The sequence below is a fragment of the Homo sapiens genome, chromosome 1 (genome assembly GCF_000001405.40).
Source record: "Homo sapiens chromosome 1, GRCh38.p14 Primary Assembly".
NCBI classification, from domain to species: Eukaryota; Metazoa; Chordata; class Mammalia; order Primates; family Hominidae; genus Homo; species Homo sapiens.
The window spans coordinates 193,353,251-193,370,847 of NC_000001.11; the positions used below are offsets into that span (position 1 = coordinate 193,353,251).

The 17,597-nt window shown below is 38.5% G+C and overlaps 1 long non-coding RNA gene across 1 annotated transcript in view, besides 3 other annotated features; it reads left to right on the top strand.

The window, feature by feature from the left end:
- Positions 1-12,703, top strand: part of LINC01031 (long intergenic non-protein coding RNA 1031) — a 61,209-nt gene extending 48,506 nt beyond the window's left edge. The window contains exon 4 of the long non-coding RNA NR_125789.1: positions 12,398-12,703. This is a non-coding gene — a long non-coding RNA (long intergenic non-protein coding RNA 1031). The remainder of the gene's footprint in view (positions 1-12,397) is intronic.
- Positions 1,969-2,263: an enhancer, noted in NCBI's record as "tiled region #5855; HepG2 Activating DNase unmatched - State 8:EnhW". NCBI's record gives its function as "activates a minimal TATA promoter and a strong SV40 promoter by Sharpr-MPRA in HepG2 cells {active_cell/tissue: HepG2}" and the evidence as "EXISTENCE:reporter gene assay evidence [ECO:0000049][PMID:27701403]".
- Positions 1,969-3,220: a biological region, named in NCBI's record as "MED14-independent group 3 enhancer GRCh37_chr1:193324401-193325600".
- Positions 2,021-3,220: an enhancer, noted in NCBI's record as "MED14-independent group 3 enhancer chr1:193324401-193325600 (GRCh37/hg19 assembly coordinates)". NCBI's record gives its function as "activates an origin of replication core promoter dependent on BRD2, BRD4, P300/CBP and CDK7 cofactors, and independent of MED14, by STARR-seq in HCT116 cells {active_cell/tissue: HCT116}" and the evidence as "EXISTENCE:reporter gene assay evidence [ECO:0000049][PMID:35650434]".
- Positions 12,704-17,597: the final 4,894 nt, after the last annotated feature.

Here is a 17,597-nt window from a genome sequence, read left to right on the forward strand (position 1 = left end):
AAGTAGAGGTTTCCAAAGAACATTTAAGTGGGTACCTGAGACTGTGACTTCTTCAGAAAAGGGAGTCTGTCTTATTCATTTTATATCCTAAAATCATAGTGCAATAGTTGGCATTTTGAAAGTGCTCAACAAATACTTGGTGTTTATCAAATAAGCTGAATGAGAGGCCTGTGAAGGGTCCAGTTAAGACTAGATTCTATGAATTTATTATGGTGAACAAATTACCATGGCTCTGTAACATTTGTGAGAATACAAGTTCTGTGGAAGTAGGGACAGAAAGAATAGACCATGGGAATCAGCACGGTGAGAACTATTGAGGGTCAGGAGGTTGAGAACAACCAGTGTGACAACCAATGAACTACGAACTAAGAAAGTAACTGTGATGCCCAGGCTGAGTTGAAAAGAAAAAGGAGCCGCACTGGGATTATTGGTCTGGGAGAACAGGAAGGAGCCAAGGGACAAAATGACTTAATGAAGACAGGGAGACTGTTTAATGGGAGACGTGGGGTAGAGAAATGGGAAGAAAGGACATGTCCATTGATTTCATAACCCTCAGGATTTTGGTGGCAGAATAGTTCTGAGTGGGAAAAGTGGCGGGTGGGGGGGAGAAATATTGTGATTATTTTCAGAATATATTATTTTTCTATTTATACATATCTTAATTCCTTAATATATAATCCCTTAAAATATATAATATATAATTTAAGAAGGTTGTAACAAAGAAAAAAAATACAGTCAGTTCCTGCATAGCATTTCCTACTTTAATTATGAAAAATTATGGAGAGCGGCACATCTAGCACTGGCAAGCTAGTTTGTTAGGTTTTAGGTCTTTATATACTCTAAGCAGCTATTGAGTGTAAAGAGCACTGAAGGTAGAAATAGAAGATCTTGGGCTGAATACAGTGCCTCTTGCCTGTAATCCTAGCACTTTGGGAGGCTGAGGCAGGTAGATCACTTGAAGTCAGGAGTTTGAGACCAGCCTGGCCAACATGGTGAAACCCCATCTCTACCCCCGACAAAAAAAAAAAAATTAGCCAGGCATGGTGATGGGCACCTGTAATCCCAGCTACTTGGGAGGCTGAGGCAGGAGAATTGCTTTAACCTGGGAGGCCGAGGTTGCAGTGAGCTGAATTGTACCACTGCACTCCAGCCTGGGCGAGACTCTGTCTCAAAAAACAAAAACAAAAACAAAAACAAAAACCTTGGTATAAGCCCAGTCATCTGCTAGATGAATGAACTTGGGCAATTTACATAATCTCATAAAGGTGTTAACTTACGAAAGTTTGATGGTAATACCTTTTACTATTATTGTAAAGATTAAGTGAAATGTACAAAAGTTCTTTTCAACTTTAAAGTTTAAATGCTAAGTAGTATTTTATAAATATTGATTAGATATGTTACTGTTCTTTGAGAGACATTCCACTTGAACAAGATATTTAAGGGTTCAATTTTAGTTATAAAATGGCATAATTAAAATGTCTTTCAGTTTATTAGTTTAACATATTTAATAATTGATAATATTTGATAGAACATTATCTATTTAATCCAAAATACAGACTTAAATGCACGGTAGTGCACCTTAAATGTTGTGACTTTCCTTGTTTACGAGGGGATAATTCTTATCATTTGTGTTGTTACCAATCCCCAAGGAGAGCAACAGCAGATTTTTGTGTGTGTGAACTTACTTTCAATACAATAAATTCCTAGATGTAGAAAAGTAATTATAAATTGTATATACTCTGAATACAACTAAAGTTAACCGAAAGGATTCATTTCATATTAGAGTTTATGCTAAAAATAAAGAAAAAATACTATGCAATTACACAATCTATGTAATTATTTTCTCACTAAATGTTAATTTATTTTTCTACAATTAATGCTTTAAGTCCTGAGATCCAAGCTCTTTACTGAATTCCTAGACTGGTGTTAAAATTCTACCCAGAATTTACACGTCTTAACTTGAGTGTTGAGTCCCTGTGTAATCAATACAATATTTGGTATGAAAATATTTGAACAGTTAATACTCATCATTTCCTGTACCTAAGGTGATATTTAATGGATTGTACAGTATGAGTCATGATATTGTGCAACAAGAATCCTTTGGACTTTGGACTCTTATAGAGGAAGAAACTCTTTCCATCAACATGGCTTTAAATGACCCTGATGCTCTGGCCTCATTATCACAGAAAGCAGAACTCATATCTTGGCAGGAAACAGGAAAGAGAATGAGAATGTAAGAACAGAACATTCACGTTAGAGAGAAAAAGAGAATTTGGGAAGCTTGAAGTCATTTCTGAGAGTATTAGTTAGGATATAAACTGGGCTGCTGCAACAAACCCCTGTCCCAAAAGAGGGGGGTTTAAATGAGATAGAATTTTATTTCTCACATAATAGAGAGCAAGGTAGGTGAGCAGTTCAGGGCAGGTGGCATGTCCTGCTCAGTGAGACCATCTAAGGATCCTGGATACTGGGACAGCTTTGCCATCATTAACATGTGACTTCTTTCTCTAGATGTCAAGCAGCTCCATTAGATGTCTCATTTCCCAGCCATCAGGAGGAGGAAAGAGGGAATGAAGAACAAGCTTCTTCCTGTGGGTGTGACCCAGAGGTTGTTCGTGTCACTTCTATTCACATTTGCTTGTGTAGAACTTACACAATCATACTTAACTTCAAGAAAGATTGGGCAACATAGTTTATAGCGGGGAGGATTTATGCCCTGAAATTGATGGTGTCATCTTTTCATCTTCCCTCTCTCACCATTAGCATGTAATCTGTAACTGAATTTGAACAATCCAACTTCCAAATGATTTCCATTTTTCTCCATATTCCTAACAACACTTTAGTCTAAAGCGTCCTCATCCTTGCCTAGTTTACTACAATAACCTAATTGGTCAGCGTGCTTCCATTCTTGCCCCACCAAGTCATTTCTGACACCGTGGCCGCTAATTCTTAAGAATAGAAACCAAATCATCACTCTTCTTTAAGGCCTTTAGTGTCTATTTCCATAGAATAAAATCCATACCCTGCACCATGAGCCGTAAGACCTGGCAATGACCTGGCTCTAGTGTACCCAGTGCTATCCTTGCACCATGCTTTCCACCAGTCACTATGTTCTGGCTTCTCTGGCCTCCACCTTTTTCTAGAACACATTGATCCTTTCCCCACCTCAGGCCCTTATCCCTGCTATTCTTCATCCTGTAAAACTTTTGCTGGGATCTCCGCGTGGCTGGCTCGCCCTCATCTCTTGGCACTCAGCACAAATGTCATCTATTTTGAGAATCTTTCCTGACTGCCCTTTGTAAAGCAGCATGTCTTGTTCCCAGTGACTCTTTATTGCATTACTTTATTTATTTTCTTCATAGCATTTATTAAATTATATAATAATCCTGTTTATTTGATTATTTAATTTTCTCCTTTCATTAGAAAATAATCCTTAGGAGGGCAGTTTCTTTGGCTTATCCTGATTCTCAGACTCTGGCACATAAAAGGAACTCAACAGATTGCTATTGAATGAGTGATTAAATGAGTTAGGTACACTTTATATATTTCTTACAATAAGAATCTGGTGCCCACTGTGGGAAAACCAGGTAAAAGGAACCTTACACAGATTTGCCTCCACTAGCTTTACTTCTGGCTTGGGTGTACTGCATGTTACACCTAAGCCATGAATTTATCAACCTCGGATGGTGTTTGAAGTTTTAGTCATTCTCTGCAGTAGGTTGAATGGTGGTCCCTAAAAGTTGTGTTCATGTCCTAATACCCAGACCTTGTGAATGTTACTTTATTTGGAAGGAAAAAGTCTTTGCAGATGTAATTAAGAATCTTGAGATCATCCTGATTAACTGCATGGGTCCTAATCCAATGACAAATGTCCCTGTAAAGGCAGAGGGAGATTTGAGCCTTAGAGGAGAATGTCATGTGAGGACAGAGGCAGAGATCAGGGTTTTATAGTCACATCCCAGGAATGCCTGAACCACCAGAAGCTGGAAGAAGCAAGAAAGGATTCTCCCTTAGCGCCTTCGGAGTGAGCATAGCCCTGCTGATGGCTTCATTTCAGACTTCCGGCTTCCTAAACTTTGAGAGAATAAATTTCTATTGTTTCAAGCACCTGAATCATCTTTAATATAAATAAGTCCCAAATATTACAGGGACTATACTAATACTAACAAATAATTTGTCGTTTACCTGAGATTCTAATTTAACTGGACATTCTGCATTCTTACTTAGTAAATCTGACAATCTTACTATAATCCTAGGAGTATATGAAAATGAAGAATTGACTGGGAATGATGTAGCGATTCTGCCAAGTAAGAACTGGCATCAAATAAAAAAAACAATATAAGTTGAAGTAAGTGAAATTGGTATCACAGAAATTATAAATATGCTATAAAGTTCTAAAATTTTGCCCAGAGAAGTAACTAAACAAAATGCCTAGAATTATAATGGATTTTAACATTTTAAATCTGATGTAAATCTTAGAAAATTTGTTTCATGTGACTGTAAAACACAAGAACTAAAGTCCATCTGATCTTGACTTAATTTTTAGAAATCTCTAGAGAATTAAGATCAAATTTGGGACTGCATCATATTTCTATTACCAGCAGTTTATTAGATTCAGCTTGAAAAGAGGTAAATTAAAACACGGGAGTTAAAAAAAAATTAGACTGTAAACAGCTTTTGATGAGGCACTTTAAAAGACGATCTTCCCCAAGAGCCTGCAGGTGTTTCTAGAAATGAGCAAGGAAACTCTAGAAACCCATTTTTCCTTCATATGCCTCAGGAGCAACTAAGACCACCCATGAGGCAAGATTCTGTTTTCCCGTTTAAATTTTGCATTCTTAATGTTTATAATCACTATCTTTTTTCCCCTTGTGAGGAAATATCATGCAGGCTATTAAATAAGTAATTAAATCCATTTTAGGATGAGTTGAACAAGCAAATAGGGTGCGGAAAGGAAGGAGGGGAGACAGAGAGGGGGAGAGAGGAGAGAGAGAGACAGAGAGAGAGAGAGAGAGAGAGAGAAAAGAGAGACAGAGAGAGAGAAACAGAGCAACAACTCGCCCCCAAAATCTGTATGTTTTCTTAATGAAAGCCTAAGTAAATTGGGTAGATTTCATGTTTCTTACAAATAAGAATCAGGTGTCCGTGGTGGGAAAACCAGGTAAAAAGAACCTTCTGCAGAGAGTTTCCTCTCTTGGCTTTATTTCTGACTTGGGTGTACGGAATGTTACACCTGAGGCAAAAACAACCTCCCTTCCTCCCTTGCAATTGAAGAATTTAGATTCTGTAGGAAGGAAAGAGCAATAGAGACAAGAGAAATAAAGAGGGAGCTCTGAGTGTGATTTGGAGGTGGAATGCATGTGAGGTGCATGGGCAGCTGGGGGCAGTGAAGAGGGCAGAGACTTTTTAAAGAGGCTGTCACAGGAGAAAAACAGAGAATTTGAAAATGACTTCCCACCAACGACAGAGCAATAGAAGTTGTTGATCAGTCCGTAAGGAAGTTTCTGGAGGATCTGATATTTATTCATTAACTTATTCCTCAATTATGAATTAACTACTTAGTATGTGTCATTAATTGCGCTAGATGCCAGGGTTTCTCCAAAGAAACAGTTTGTCCTTATTTGAGAGAGTGCAGTATATAGAGAAGAGAAAGATGTTAAAAAGGAAGTACAATAAAGACTAAGTGCTATGACGACAGAAATGTATATAGTGTATAGGAAACATACAGAAGGGAGGGAGGGAGTGAAGTGGAAGTGGGTATCAAAATCTTTACAGAGTTGGTGCCTAGGTTAAACTTTGATGATTTATTAGATTAGGGAAAGCTGTTCTCTGAGGTTAGGCACGGGTTTTAAAGGAGCTAGTGAAGATTCTGAAATTATTCAATAAAATAATCATATTTATGAATAGCCACCCTTTATCAAGTGCCTTCTACATGCCACGAATTGTGTATACATTACATTAAGTCTTCACAATAACCTTATGAGTAAGGGAGTCTTATCCATGTTTTACAGATGTGGATACTTATGGTAATGGGTATGAAGAATTATATAGGTTAACACAGAGACCGAGCTCAAAAACAAACTCTTGAGTGCCATGTTTTCCATTTTGCCTTGCTGTCTGAGTATTAGAAAGTACATATATTAATAATTGTTCTGAAGTGTGTCCTACTTAAAGTATTGAGGATTTGATAGTTAAATTTCAGTTGTTTCAATGGAGAGAAACATATTTCCTGATAAAAGCAAAAGTTGATAGTCTCTGCTTTTAGTGGCTGTGCTCTACACCAGAGCCACATACTCTGTGTAACATTCAAGGCCAGCTTTCACTGAAAATCTCTTAATTGAAATACAGTTATCAGAGAATGCAGTGCTTCGACTTAGCATGCAAACCAACAACATTATGTTTAGAACCCACTGGTGTAAACTGATTTGGTATTTAGGTGTCCTTTTACAACATCTGCCTTATGTCTTTAGGAGATGGCTTCTATGGGTGTCTTTTACAGAGAATGACCATGCGTCAGTCGGGGCAGCTGCTCTAAAATGTGCTTTAGTGGAGTGCTCCTTAAACTTTAATGTGCTTTTTGGTCCCCTGGGGGCCTTCTGAATCTGTGGGTCTGAGGTGGGGGCTGACATTCTGCTTTTCTCAATATGGAAGCTCCCATGTGGTGCTGGCGCTGCTGACCCACTGACCGCATTTTGAATAGCAAGGGTTTAGAATAAATGAAGGCGGTCTGCCTTGATTCCACAGTGCCATAAGATGTAAACAATTTATTAGAAAATAATCACTGGGTGCCTGCATTGTGCATGTACTGTGCAAAACACAAGATATGTTTATGAAAAAGTACAATCTCTGCCTTTTAGACACTTGGATTCTTGATGCGCAGCCCTGAAATGTGGGGTGGGGTAGGGAGGGGAAAATTATTATTTTTGTTTGCATTGTGTCACAAGTTATAATGAGTACCTTTGTTTGTAACTTAAGATTTTAAAAAGTGACTTTTAAGAGTATCTTACATTGTAGTAGGGAAGAGAAACAACATGCAACATGTTAAGGCAATATTAAGTGTTACTTTGAGAGCAGGGTGGGGAAATCTCACTCCAGGACTTTTAATTTTATTCTAAAACAAATGAGGATCCAGTCAAAGTTATTTTTGGAGTTAATGGGGGACATGATTACAATCTAAATAATAGTTTAGATTTTAAGTGTTTTCAGCACAAAAAATAAGTATGTGAGGCAATGCATACGTTAATTAGCTCCATCTAGCCATTCCATAATGTATGCATATTTCAAAAACACCGTGTTTTACATGATAAATATGCACAGTTTTTGGTCAATTAAAAATAAATAAAAATAAAATGATAATTTAGGTTTCAGATTGATATGCAAGGTCTTCAAATCAGGTGAAGGAAGGTGATCTTCCTTCCTGGAGGCAGGAAGAACAGTTTATTACTATAAATGTGGGAAGTAGAGACTGAAAAAAGAGGGTAGATTTGAGAAGACAGAATTTGCTAGTAGTAGTTTCTATATAGGGAATGAAGAAAAGAGACACGTCCAGATGACTCCCAGTTTTTTGGTTTGGGCAGTTGAATGGATGTTGATCCCATTTATTGAACAGAGAGCATAAAAGGAGGAGACTTTGTAGAGTGAAGTGGGAATGGCCCTTCGAAGTTAAAATGTCCATTGGATTATTGGGGATAGAGTTGTAGGATTTAGGACAGGTGCCTGGGCTGGAAATAATAGACTTGGATGATGACTGAAGCTCTGACACTAGTTAAGATCATCCAGGGAAAACATCTATTGTTGAGGCTTTTAAGCTAGATTCCCGGAGAGTACACATATGGGTTTCAGTGAGTACTGCACCTTTACAGTTTGTATGAAAATTTTAACATAACATTTACAGCTTGTATGAAAATTTTAAGTTTCATATTCATTTTTTTTTCTGGAAATAATGGTTCAAAGGTTTCATGACTCTCAAAGGGGTCTTTTGCCCTGAGAAGTTTAAGAGCCACTAGAATAGAATGCGAAAAGAGATGAGTACTGGACCTGAGACACCAATAGGAAGGTGTCTTAAAAAAGAAGAATCACTAAAAAGAGAACTACCGTTTGATCCAATAATCACACTACTGGGTATCTACCCAGAGGAAAAGAAGTCATTATATGAAAAAGATACTTGCACATGCCTGTTTATAGCAGTACAGTTCACAAAATCCAAAAATGTGGAACCAGCCCAGGTGTTCATCAATTAATGAGTGGATAAACTGTGTTGTGTGTGCCACACACACTCACACACACACAATGGAATACTACTCAGTTATAAATAGGAATGAATTAATGACATTCTCAACAAACTGGATGGGATTGGAGACCATTATTCTAAGTGAAGTAACTCAGGAATGGAAAACCATACATTGTATGTTCTCACTAATACATGGGAGCTAAGCTATGAGGATGCAAAGGCATAAGAATGATACAATAGACTTTGGGGACTCGGGGGAAAAGGTGGGAGTGGGGTGAGGGATAAAAGACTACAAATCAGGTTCAATGTATACTGCTCGGGTGATGGGTGCACCAAAATCTCACAAATCACCACTAAAGAACTTAGTCATGTAAATGAATACCACCTGTTCCTCAAAAACCCATGGAAATAAAAATTAAAAAAGAAATAAAAAATAAAAGTAAAAAAAAAAAGAAGAATCAAAGTCTCAGAATAGAATCTTGGGGAAATGTCAATGCCAGGGAAACTTTAATAGGTTTCTCCAGGCTCTGCAACTTCAATGCCTCTTATATTTTCCCACATTCTTCCTGGCATAGATTCTGGGGAAAGAAAGGCCTAGGGTCTGGAAGATTTGAGCCACAAACACTGATGGGGTTTGGGAGAGGAAATAACACATTAGGAGTGACAAGGTGGGACTAATGAAGATGAATAGTAAGTGTTTAGTTGAACTTCAGACCTAGGGATTTTTGGAGGTTCTTCTTAGAATTTTCTTAAGCCTAAAAATTTCTAGTTTCATCTTTGGTAAGGAAAATAAACATGCTTCCTTCAGTATAAAGAATTCTTGTTCACGGAACACATACCTGGCTTTTTATTCAATTGGCTATATGGAATAAGATGAAAGGAGAGTCCAGCACTGGCTTTATCTGGTAAAATTAAGATAAAGCATCAAATGTCCATTGAAGTACAAATTTCTGAATCATGTTCCTTGCAAATACATTATGTTTTGGAAGCCTTTCACACACCAACTGGACTAAGAACAACTCAAGCTTGATCCTGTGTCTGTTTTTTTATTTTTTTATTTTTAGCACTTAACACTATCAACACCTTTGTCCTCACAACTCAATTTTCTGTTTATTTTTATAGGTTTAGAGCAGAAACTTAGGAACTTTGTTGTTATAGTGCTAAAAAATAGATGATACTGTAATCAGGACAGGGAAGACGTAGGGCAGACATAGAGCTCTCTGTTACTAATAGATTTGTGTCTGGAATGTTTACTTGGTGGCCAAATATTGTGTTTCAACCCTGGCAAGTCATCTTTATATTGTTAATTGCATTAGTTTTCTATTTCTGCATAACAAATTACCCACAAGCCTAGATTTAAAAATAAGCAGTTATCTCCTGTAGGAGGGCTTAGTTCCTCATGATGTAAACTTCGTTATAAGGTTGTTTGAGTGTCCTCATGACATGGTGGCTAGCTTCCTCCAGATCGAGTGATTTAAGAAAATGAGATGGAAGCCTTGATGTCTTTTATGACCTACCTTGGAGGTCAAACACTATCATTTCTGCAACATCCCATTGGTTATACAAGTCTGTTCTATGCAATGTGGGAGAGTACACAGGGCATGAATAGGAGACAAAAGAGGCATACCAGGAGGCAGAGATTGTTGGGGACCATTGTGGAGGCTGGCTGCCATTGTAATGAAAACTATTTTCCCAAATAAGTATTCTCCTGGACAACTGAGATCATGAATTCCGTTACAGCTATCTTATCACCAACATCACCAAGTATGCTGCTTTAGGGGTATTCCAAAGAGCTGCGAAATCACTCCGGAGACACAGGTAGGTCTAGAAATAAAGATACTGTCAATAACATCACTTCAGTTATGAAGAACACAGTGCCTATGAATTGTTACTTCTGTTTTAAACACATCCAGTGGCCTCTAAGTTGAGGGCTTTAGGTCTCGTTGTGAATCAGCTTTAATGGATAGTAGTGCCAGGTAAAGTTGGGTTCAGCAAAATAGTTAATAAATATGTTTTCAGTAGATTGAACTTGGATAGGTACCAGTTGCTTTTAGTCAAGAATTTCTCCCCGGGAGGATTGTGCCCTTGTTTCATGGAAAACAATTGCTCCATCTCCTCCTATTCCATACAACCTATAAAAGGCTACTCTATGAAAAGCATTCATGTACAAAGAGTTTCGTGATCCCTTAAAATGTCTTCCCTGTTTCCCTTCTTTTCCTTTTGGGCATCGCCAAATGCCATTCCTTATTTAAATGTGATTAAATTCTAGGATAACTTGTGCCAAATTGTAAACTTGGAATTAATATAGGTTGGGAACTTCATAAGATGCCTTTTACATGTCCCATTGGAGATTAATAAGGATGTGAAGCACCTAAGGGAAAGTCAAAATAGGATGCGATATAGGTCAGGTTAGACCTTGGTCCATAATCTGTCTCCTGCACCTCTGTTTGGCTGCCTGAAGGGAGTTACTCCATGTTGTGTACATGAGAATCACTGCCAGGAACCAGGGACAGGTATGGAGATCTTTCAAACTGAGTTAATTTCATCTTTCTGGATTCAGAGGAAGAAGCTGGCCTGAATGTGTGGGGAGAGAAGTTGTTTTCTGGGGATCACTGCTAGCTTTTATGATACTGGGTATTAAGGAATACGCTTTTGAAATTTAGACAGGAATAGTGGCTATGATCTTATTTTAACTTTCGGTTCTGTCAAATAATTTAAGTGATAGTTTTATTTTAGAGCAGTTTGATTTTACCACCTGAGGAATAAATCAAGAAAAAGGGAAAATTTTAAATGGGCTATGTAGGGGGATAGCAGGCTTAACTAAATCATTAGCACTCTAGTGACTGCTTGTATTGATTCTGGAAAGTAAAGATGCAACTAAATTCACGTTAACTTCAAATTATTACCCAGAAATTTATACCTGTTTTTATATCTTCATTGACAAAATAATGCAAATGTGCCACTTAAATTCTAATGGGGACCTGACTCCTTTTTCAAGGAAATTACTGCTTATTTTGTGGGTAAAGTTTGTGTGCAATTCACAGAATACATTGCCTTAGTAATTATTAGAGCATATGGATAAAGTAGAAAAGTGGGAACCATGAGTGGTCCCATCTGGACCTGTGGGCCATTTAATCAAGGTCACATGTTATGTGATGACTAAATCTGGAAGTACAATTAGTAAATAGCCTTGATGCCCAGTTTTCTCCATACCATTAGACTGGCCATTCATTTATTCATTTTTAAGATAGGCAAAATATTAATATCCCTGATGTCTATTTGAGTAAACTAAGTAATGCTGCAGTAACAAGCAATTCTCAAATCTTATTGGTTTAAAAAGACCTAGGTTTGCCTTTTGCTTAGCCACATGTCATTCACAGGTCTGCATGGGTTCAGATCAATGTCACTTTACTCCATGATACAGGCTGATGGAACAAACTCTGTTTAAGATATTGCCTGTCTTAGGACAGAAGGAAAGGAAAGCTGTGGGAATCCATGAGCTTGCTTTTAAAGATTTTGCTTGGAAGTGTGTTACTTGAGCCCATATTTCATTGGCCAAAGCAGGTCACTTGGCCAATCCTGGTTTCAAAATGCAGGGATGTACAATTCTCACTTATAGAGGGGCCCTGCAAAGCACCCAGGCAAGCCCACTATCACTAGGGTGGGGAAAGATAATTCTCTAGGGAAGGCGGCAAATACATTAAACACTAATACAATCCACCAGACTCACTCAAGGAGTTATTTGTAATGAGACTAGCGTAAGATGTAAATGTGATAGTGCTTGTAAATTGGTGAGAAAAAATTGTAGAGCCGTGTATTTATGTCATTATTGTTATTAGTAGTAATAGACTGATAGTAATATATAAGGAACCATATGAGTTAAATATTTGTTGAATGAGAATGCATAAGACAGTAGCTTTAAAGAGACTGTCGTCTAGAAGGGGAGATAATATATATGCAAAAATACAAAAAAGTGTTAAATACAATTATAAAACTTTATGATAATTCCACAGAAGAAATAATTTCTTTTAATTGGAGAATTTTGGAATCGTTCAGGTTAGTTGGGTACATTGAACATTTCCCCAGCAATGCTCAATGGCTAAAAACCAACTGTAGGCTTGTCCAAGTGACTAATGATTTCATGTATTTCTGCACTTTTGAACCTAGGACATTTCCCAGGATTGGACGAGGCCAGTAAGGTGAAAGAGTAGAGGCCTGAAGATTCCAGAGAGCTAGTAACAACTTCACTGAAGTGGCTGAGATCCACAGTGTGTCAGGAGGTGTTTCTAGAGAGGTACAGTAGATGGGAAATGAGAGGACATGAATTCAGTAAGCTCCTTAACCTCCTGCCTCATTTATCAAATGGGTCTGATGAAAGTGATATATATGAAAGCACCTGGCATAATATTGGTCAGATTGTGGTGCTTGATGATGGAATGGTGCATAAATAAATAAACACGGGCTCTCAATCAATGTTGGATGAATGTGAATCTGAAAAGGGGCTTTATTGAGTGGAATAATCAAGAAGGACCAAAGGAAAAAATACCATTGTAAATGAGACCAGGGTCATAGAATTGAGCTAGTGGAAGGGATCAATAGAAGGTCATGGTCATTGCAGACTTTTTCTCTTACATATTAGGACCTCTCTTAACCTAGCTCCTCCTGTTTCACTGATGCTTTTTATTTCCTCCATAAATCTTACTGCATATAAATCCAACGTGTGCGTATACTGCACACTCATGATTAGGAGACTAGTCTCTAGCAAGCTGTGACACATTTGCTTTCCTCTTTTAAATTTGTCTGCTTACAGAAAGCATGGCATTTCCCCCCAAATCTTTTTACACCAGTTGCACCTGAAATGATGTAATTTAAATAATACATAAACAGATAACATATAAATGCAAAAAGAAGAGAACATTGTTGCCATGAAAATTTGAGTTGAATGATGTGTAGAGATGCAATGAAATTTAATTGCTAAAAATATTGCTCTCCAAGTAGACATAGGCGAGAAACATTGAGGATTGAAAAATAATGTTGGCTGGGCACGATGGCTCACACCTGTAATCCCAGCACTTTGGGAGGCCGAGGCGGACAGATCAGGAAGTGAAGAGATCGAGACCATCCTGGTCAACATGGTGAAACCCCGTCTCTACTAAAAATAGAAAAATTAGCTGGGCATTGTGGCGCATGCCTGTAGTCCCAGCTACTCGGGAGGCTGAGGCAGAAGAATCGCTTGAACCCGGGAGGCGGAGGTTGCAGTGAGCCAAGATTGCGCCACTGCACTCCAGCCTGGCGACAGAGCAAGACTCCATCTAAAAAAAAAAAAAAAAAAAAAAAAAAAGAAAACTAATGTTGAAGCATTCTACACTTGCTTTCTCCCCAGCCCCCTGCATGGTAGAGCATCATAGAGAGGATAAAACTGTGGACTCTGGAGCCAGACCTGCCAGGATTGGAATCTGGCTTTACCCAGTTGGCAGCTGAGTGACCCTCAGTGCCTCAGTTCCTTATCTGTAAACTAGGGATAATAAACAATCCCAATCTCATTAGGTCATTATGTGGCTGCAATGACTTCCCTCACAAACTATCCAGGGTTAGGGAAACTTCACAGGTTAAGGGCATGGTGCTCTATAAAAGTCCTCTCACTTTAAACACCAGCCACAGGCTTGGTGTCCTCAGGGCCCCTTGGCTTCTGATGAGCTGCCTAGAAATTGGGGGTTTCTACTATCCAATCAGCCTCAACTATTTGCTAGAATAATTCACAGAACTTAGGAAGGTGCTGTGCCAACATAACTTGGAGATATTTCAGGTTTAGTTCTAGCCCACTGCAATAAAGTGAGTCACACACACTTTTTGGTTTCCCATTGCATATAAAAATTATGTTTACACTATATCATAGTCTATTAAGTATATAATAGCATTATGTTTAAACATGTACATACCTTAATTTAAAAAATATTTTATTATTAAAACATGCTAAAAATCATCTGAGCCTTTAGTGAGTTATAATCTTTTTCCTGGTGGTGGGTTTTGCCTTGATGTTGATGGCTGCTGACTGATCAGGGTGGTGGTTGCTGAAGGTTGAAGTGACTGTGGCAATTTCTTAAAATAAGACAACAATGAAGTTTATTGCATCAATGGACTCTTCCTCTCACAAAAGATTTTTCTGTAGCACGTGATGCTATTTGATAGCATTTCACCTAGAGCAGAAATTCTTTCAGAACTGTATATTCTAAATCATTTGTTGTCATTTCAACAATGTTTATAGTATTTTTGCCAGGAGTCGATTCTCAAGAAACTACTTTCTCTGCTCATCCATAAAAAGCAACTCCTCACCCATCCATGTTTTATCACGAGACTGTAGCAATTCAGTCACATCTTTAGGCTCCCCTTCTAATTCTGGTTCTCTTGCTATTTCTACCACATCTGCAGTCATCCAGGCTTTGTTGTCCCAAAGTAGAGTGGATTTAGCATAATTCTTAAAAGTCCCAGAATGATAAATGAACATTGGCTTCAATGTAAAGTCAGTAGCTTCCTTAGCCCTTAATAAGAGAGTCAGCTTGTCCTTTGAAGCTTTGTAGATGGGTATTGACTTCCCCTCTCTAGCTATGAAAGTGCTAGATGGCATCTTCTTCCAATAGAAGGCTTTTTTGTCTATGTAAAAATCTATTGTTTAGTGTAGCCACCTTTATCAGTGATCTTAACTAGATCTTCTGGATAATTTACTGCATTTCTACATCAGCACTTGCAGCTTCACCTTTCACGTTTATGTTAAGGAGATGACTTCTTTCCTTAAATAGCATGAACCAACCTCTGCTAGCTTCCAGCTTTTCTTTTGCAGCTTCCTCACAGAGGAAGCCTTCACAGAATTGAGGAAAGTTAGGGCCTTATTGTGGATCGGGATTTGGCTTATGGGAATGTTGTGGCTGGTTTGATCTTCTATTCAGATCACTCAAACTTTCTCCCTATCCGCAATAAGGCTGTTTTGCTTTCTTATCATTCGTAAGTTCACTGGAGTAGCACTTTCATTTTCTTTCAAGAACTTCTCCTTTGCATTCACAACTTGGCTATTTAGTGAAAGAGGCCTTGCTTTCAGCCTGTTTTGGCTTTCAACTTGCCTGCTCGCTAAGCTTAATCATTTCTAGCTTTTGATTTAAAGTGAGAGACAGACGATTTTTCTTTCATTTGAACACTTATAGAACATTGTGCAATGGATTATTAATTGGCCTAATTTTAGTATTGTCATGTCTCAGGGAATAGTGAGGCCCAAAAAATGGAAGAGAGATGAGGAAATGGCTGGTGGTTGGAGCAGTCAGAACACACACAACATTTATCAGTTAAGTTTGCTTTCTTATACTGGCATGGTTTGTGGTGCCCCCAAACAATTACAATAATATCAAAGGTTACTGAGCACACACCACCATAACTGATATAATAATGATGAAAAAGTTTGAAATATTGCAAAAACTACCAAAATGTGACACAGAAAAATGATGTGAGTACATGCTGTTGGAAAAATGACACCTATGGATTTATTTAGTGCAGGGTTGCCACAAACCTCCAATTTTTAAAAACAGAATATCTGTGTAGCAAAATAAAGCAACTCACAATAAAACAGTGTATGCCTGTACTTATAGCTACAATTTTATTATAGCAAAAGGATACAAATCAGAACCAACCAAAAGGAGAGATGCATAGGATGAGGTCTGGGAGGAGCTGAAGTGTAAGTCTCCTAGTCATCCTCTCTCAGTGGAGACCTGGACATCACTACTTCTGTCCAGTACATCAATGTGTGACAAATTCAAAAGTATCACCAACCAGGGAAGCTCACTGAAGCTGCTTTGTTGTCAGAGTTTTAATTGGGCTTTCATTACATAGGGATGATTGATTGGATCATTGGCTCCAGCCTCCTTCCCCTGTCTGATATCAGATGGCTCAAAGCCCCAGCTCTCTAACCACATATAGTTTGTCTTTGTGACATGCACCAAAATCTTCCTTGGATAAATACATTTCTTTCCTATCTTATCTCCCTGTTCCCATCTTGCCATCTTTCTATCGTGATTTTAAAATTTTTATTCTTTTTTTTTTTTTTTTTGAGACAGGATCTTGCATTGTCACCCAGGCTGGAGTGCAGTGGCTGGCACAATCACAGCTCACTACACCCTTTACCTCCCGTGCTCAAGCAATTCTCCTACTGAGGTACAGCCTCCTGAGTAGCTGGGACTACAGGCATGTGCCACCAAGCCTGGCCAATCTTTTTTTTTTTTTTCCTAGAGACAGATCTCCCTATATTGTGCAGGCTGGTCTCAAACTCCTGGGCTCTAGTGACCCTCCCTCCTTGGCCTCCCAAAGTGTTGGGATTACAGACATGAGCTGCTGCGCCTAACCAAAACTTTTATTCTTTTTTTTTTTTTAATTTTTTTTTAGATAGAGTTTTGCTCTGTCACCCAGGCTGGAGTGCAGTAGTGCTATCCTGGCTCACTGCAACCTCTACCTCCTGGGTTCAAGTGATTCTCCTGCCTCAGCCTCCCAAGTAGCTGGGACTACAGGTGCTCACCACCACCCCCATCTAATTTTTGTATTTTTAGTAGAGACAGGGTTTCACCATGTTGGCCAGGCTGGTCTCGAACTCCTGACCTCAGGTGATTCACCCACCTCAGCCTCCCACAGTGTTGGGATTTCAGGCATGAGCCACCGTGCCTGGCCCCAAATTTTTATTCTTTAAAAAATCATGAACTTCGGGGTGGGTGCGGTGGCTCACACCTGTAATCCCAGCACTTTGGGAGGCCAAGGCGGGCGGATCATGAGGTCAGGAGATAGAGACCATCCTGGCTAACACGGTGAAACCCCATCTCTACTGAAAATACAAAAAATTAGCCGGGCATGGTGGCAGGCACTGTGGTCCCAGCTACTCGGGAGGCTGAGGCAGGAGAATGGCGCGAACCCGGGAGGCAGAGCTTGCAGTGAGCCAAGATTGCGCCACTGCACTCCAGCCTGGGCGACAGAGTGAGACTCCATCTCAAAAGAAAAAAACAAAACAAAACAAACAAAAAAAAACATGAACTTCACGCAGACCAGATTTTTATAATTTTCCTATGAGAAAATTAATATTCAAATTCATTTGCTGTTACTACACATACTAATATTATTATAGTTATTCAGGTCACTAATGCCTGTAGTAATAGTAATCATGGCATCATTATAATAATGGTGAGTATTGAAAGAGATGGTGAAAATGCTGTGAGCTGGTAAAATTTGATGGCTAGTAATATTTTTATCTTGTTTTCATTGTTTTTTTTTTTAAATGGGTTGTATAATATTTTTTATTCAATGATGATTTAATATAAATTAATAGCTAGCATTTATTGCC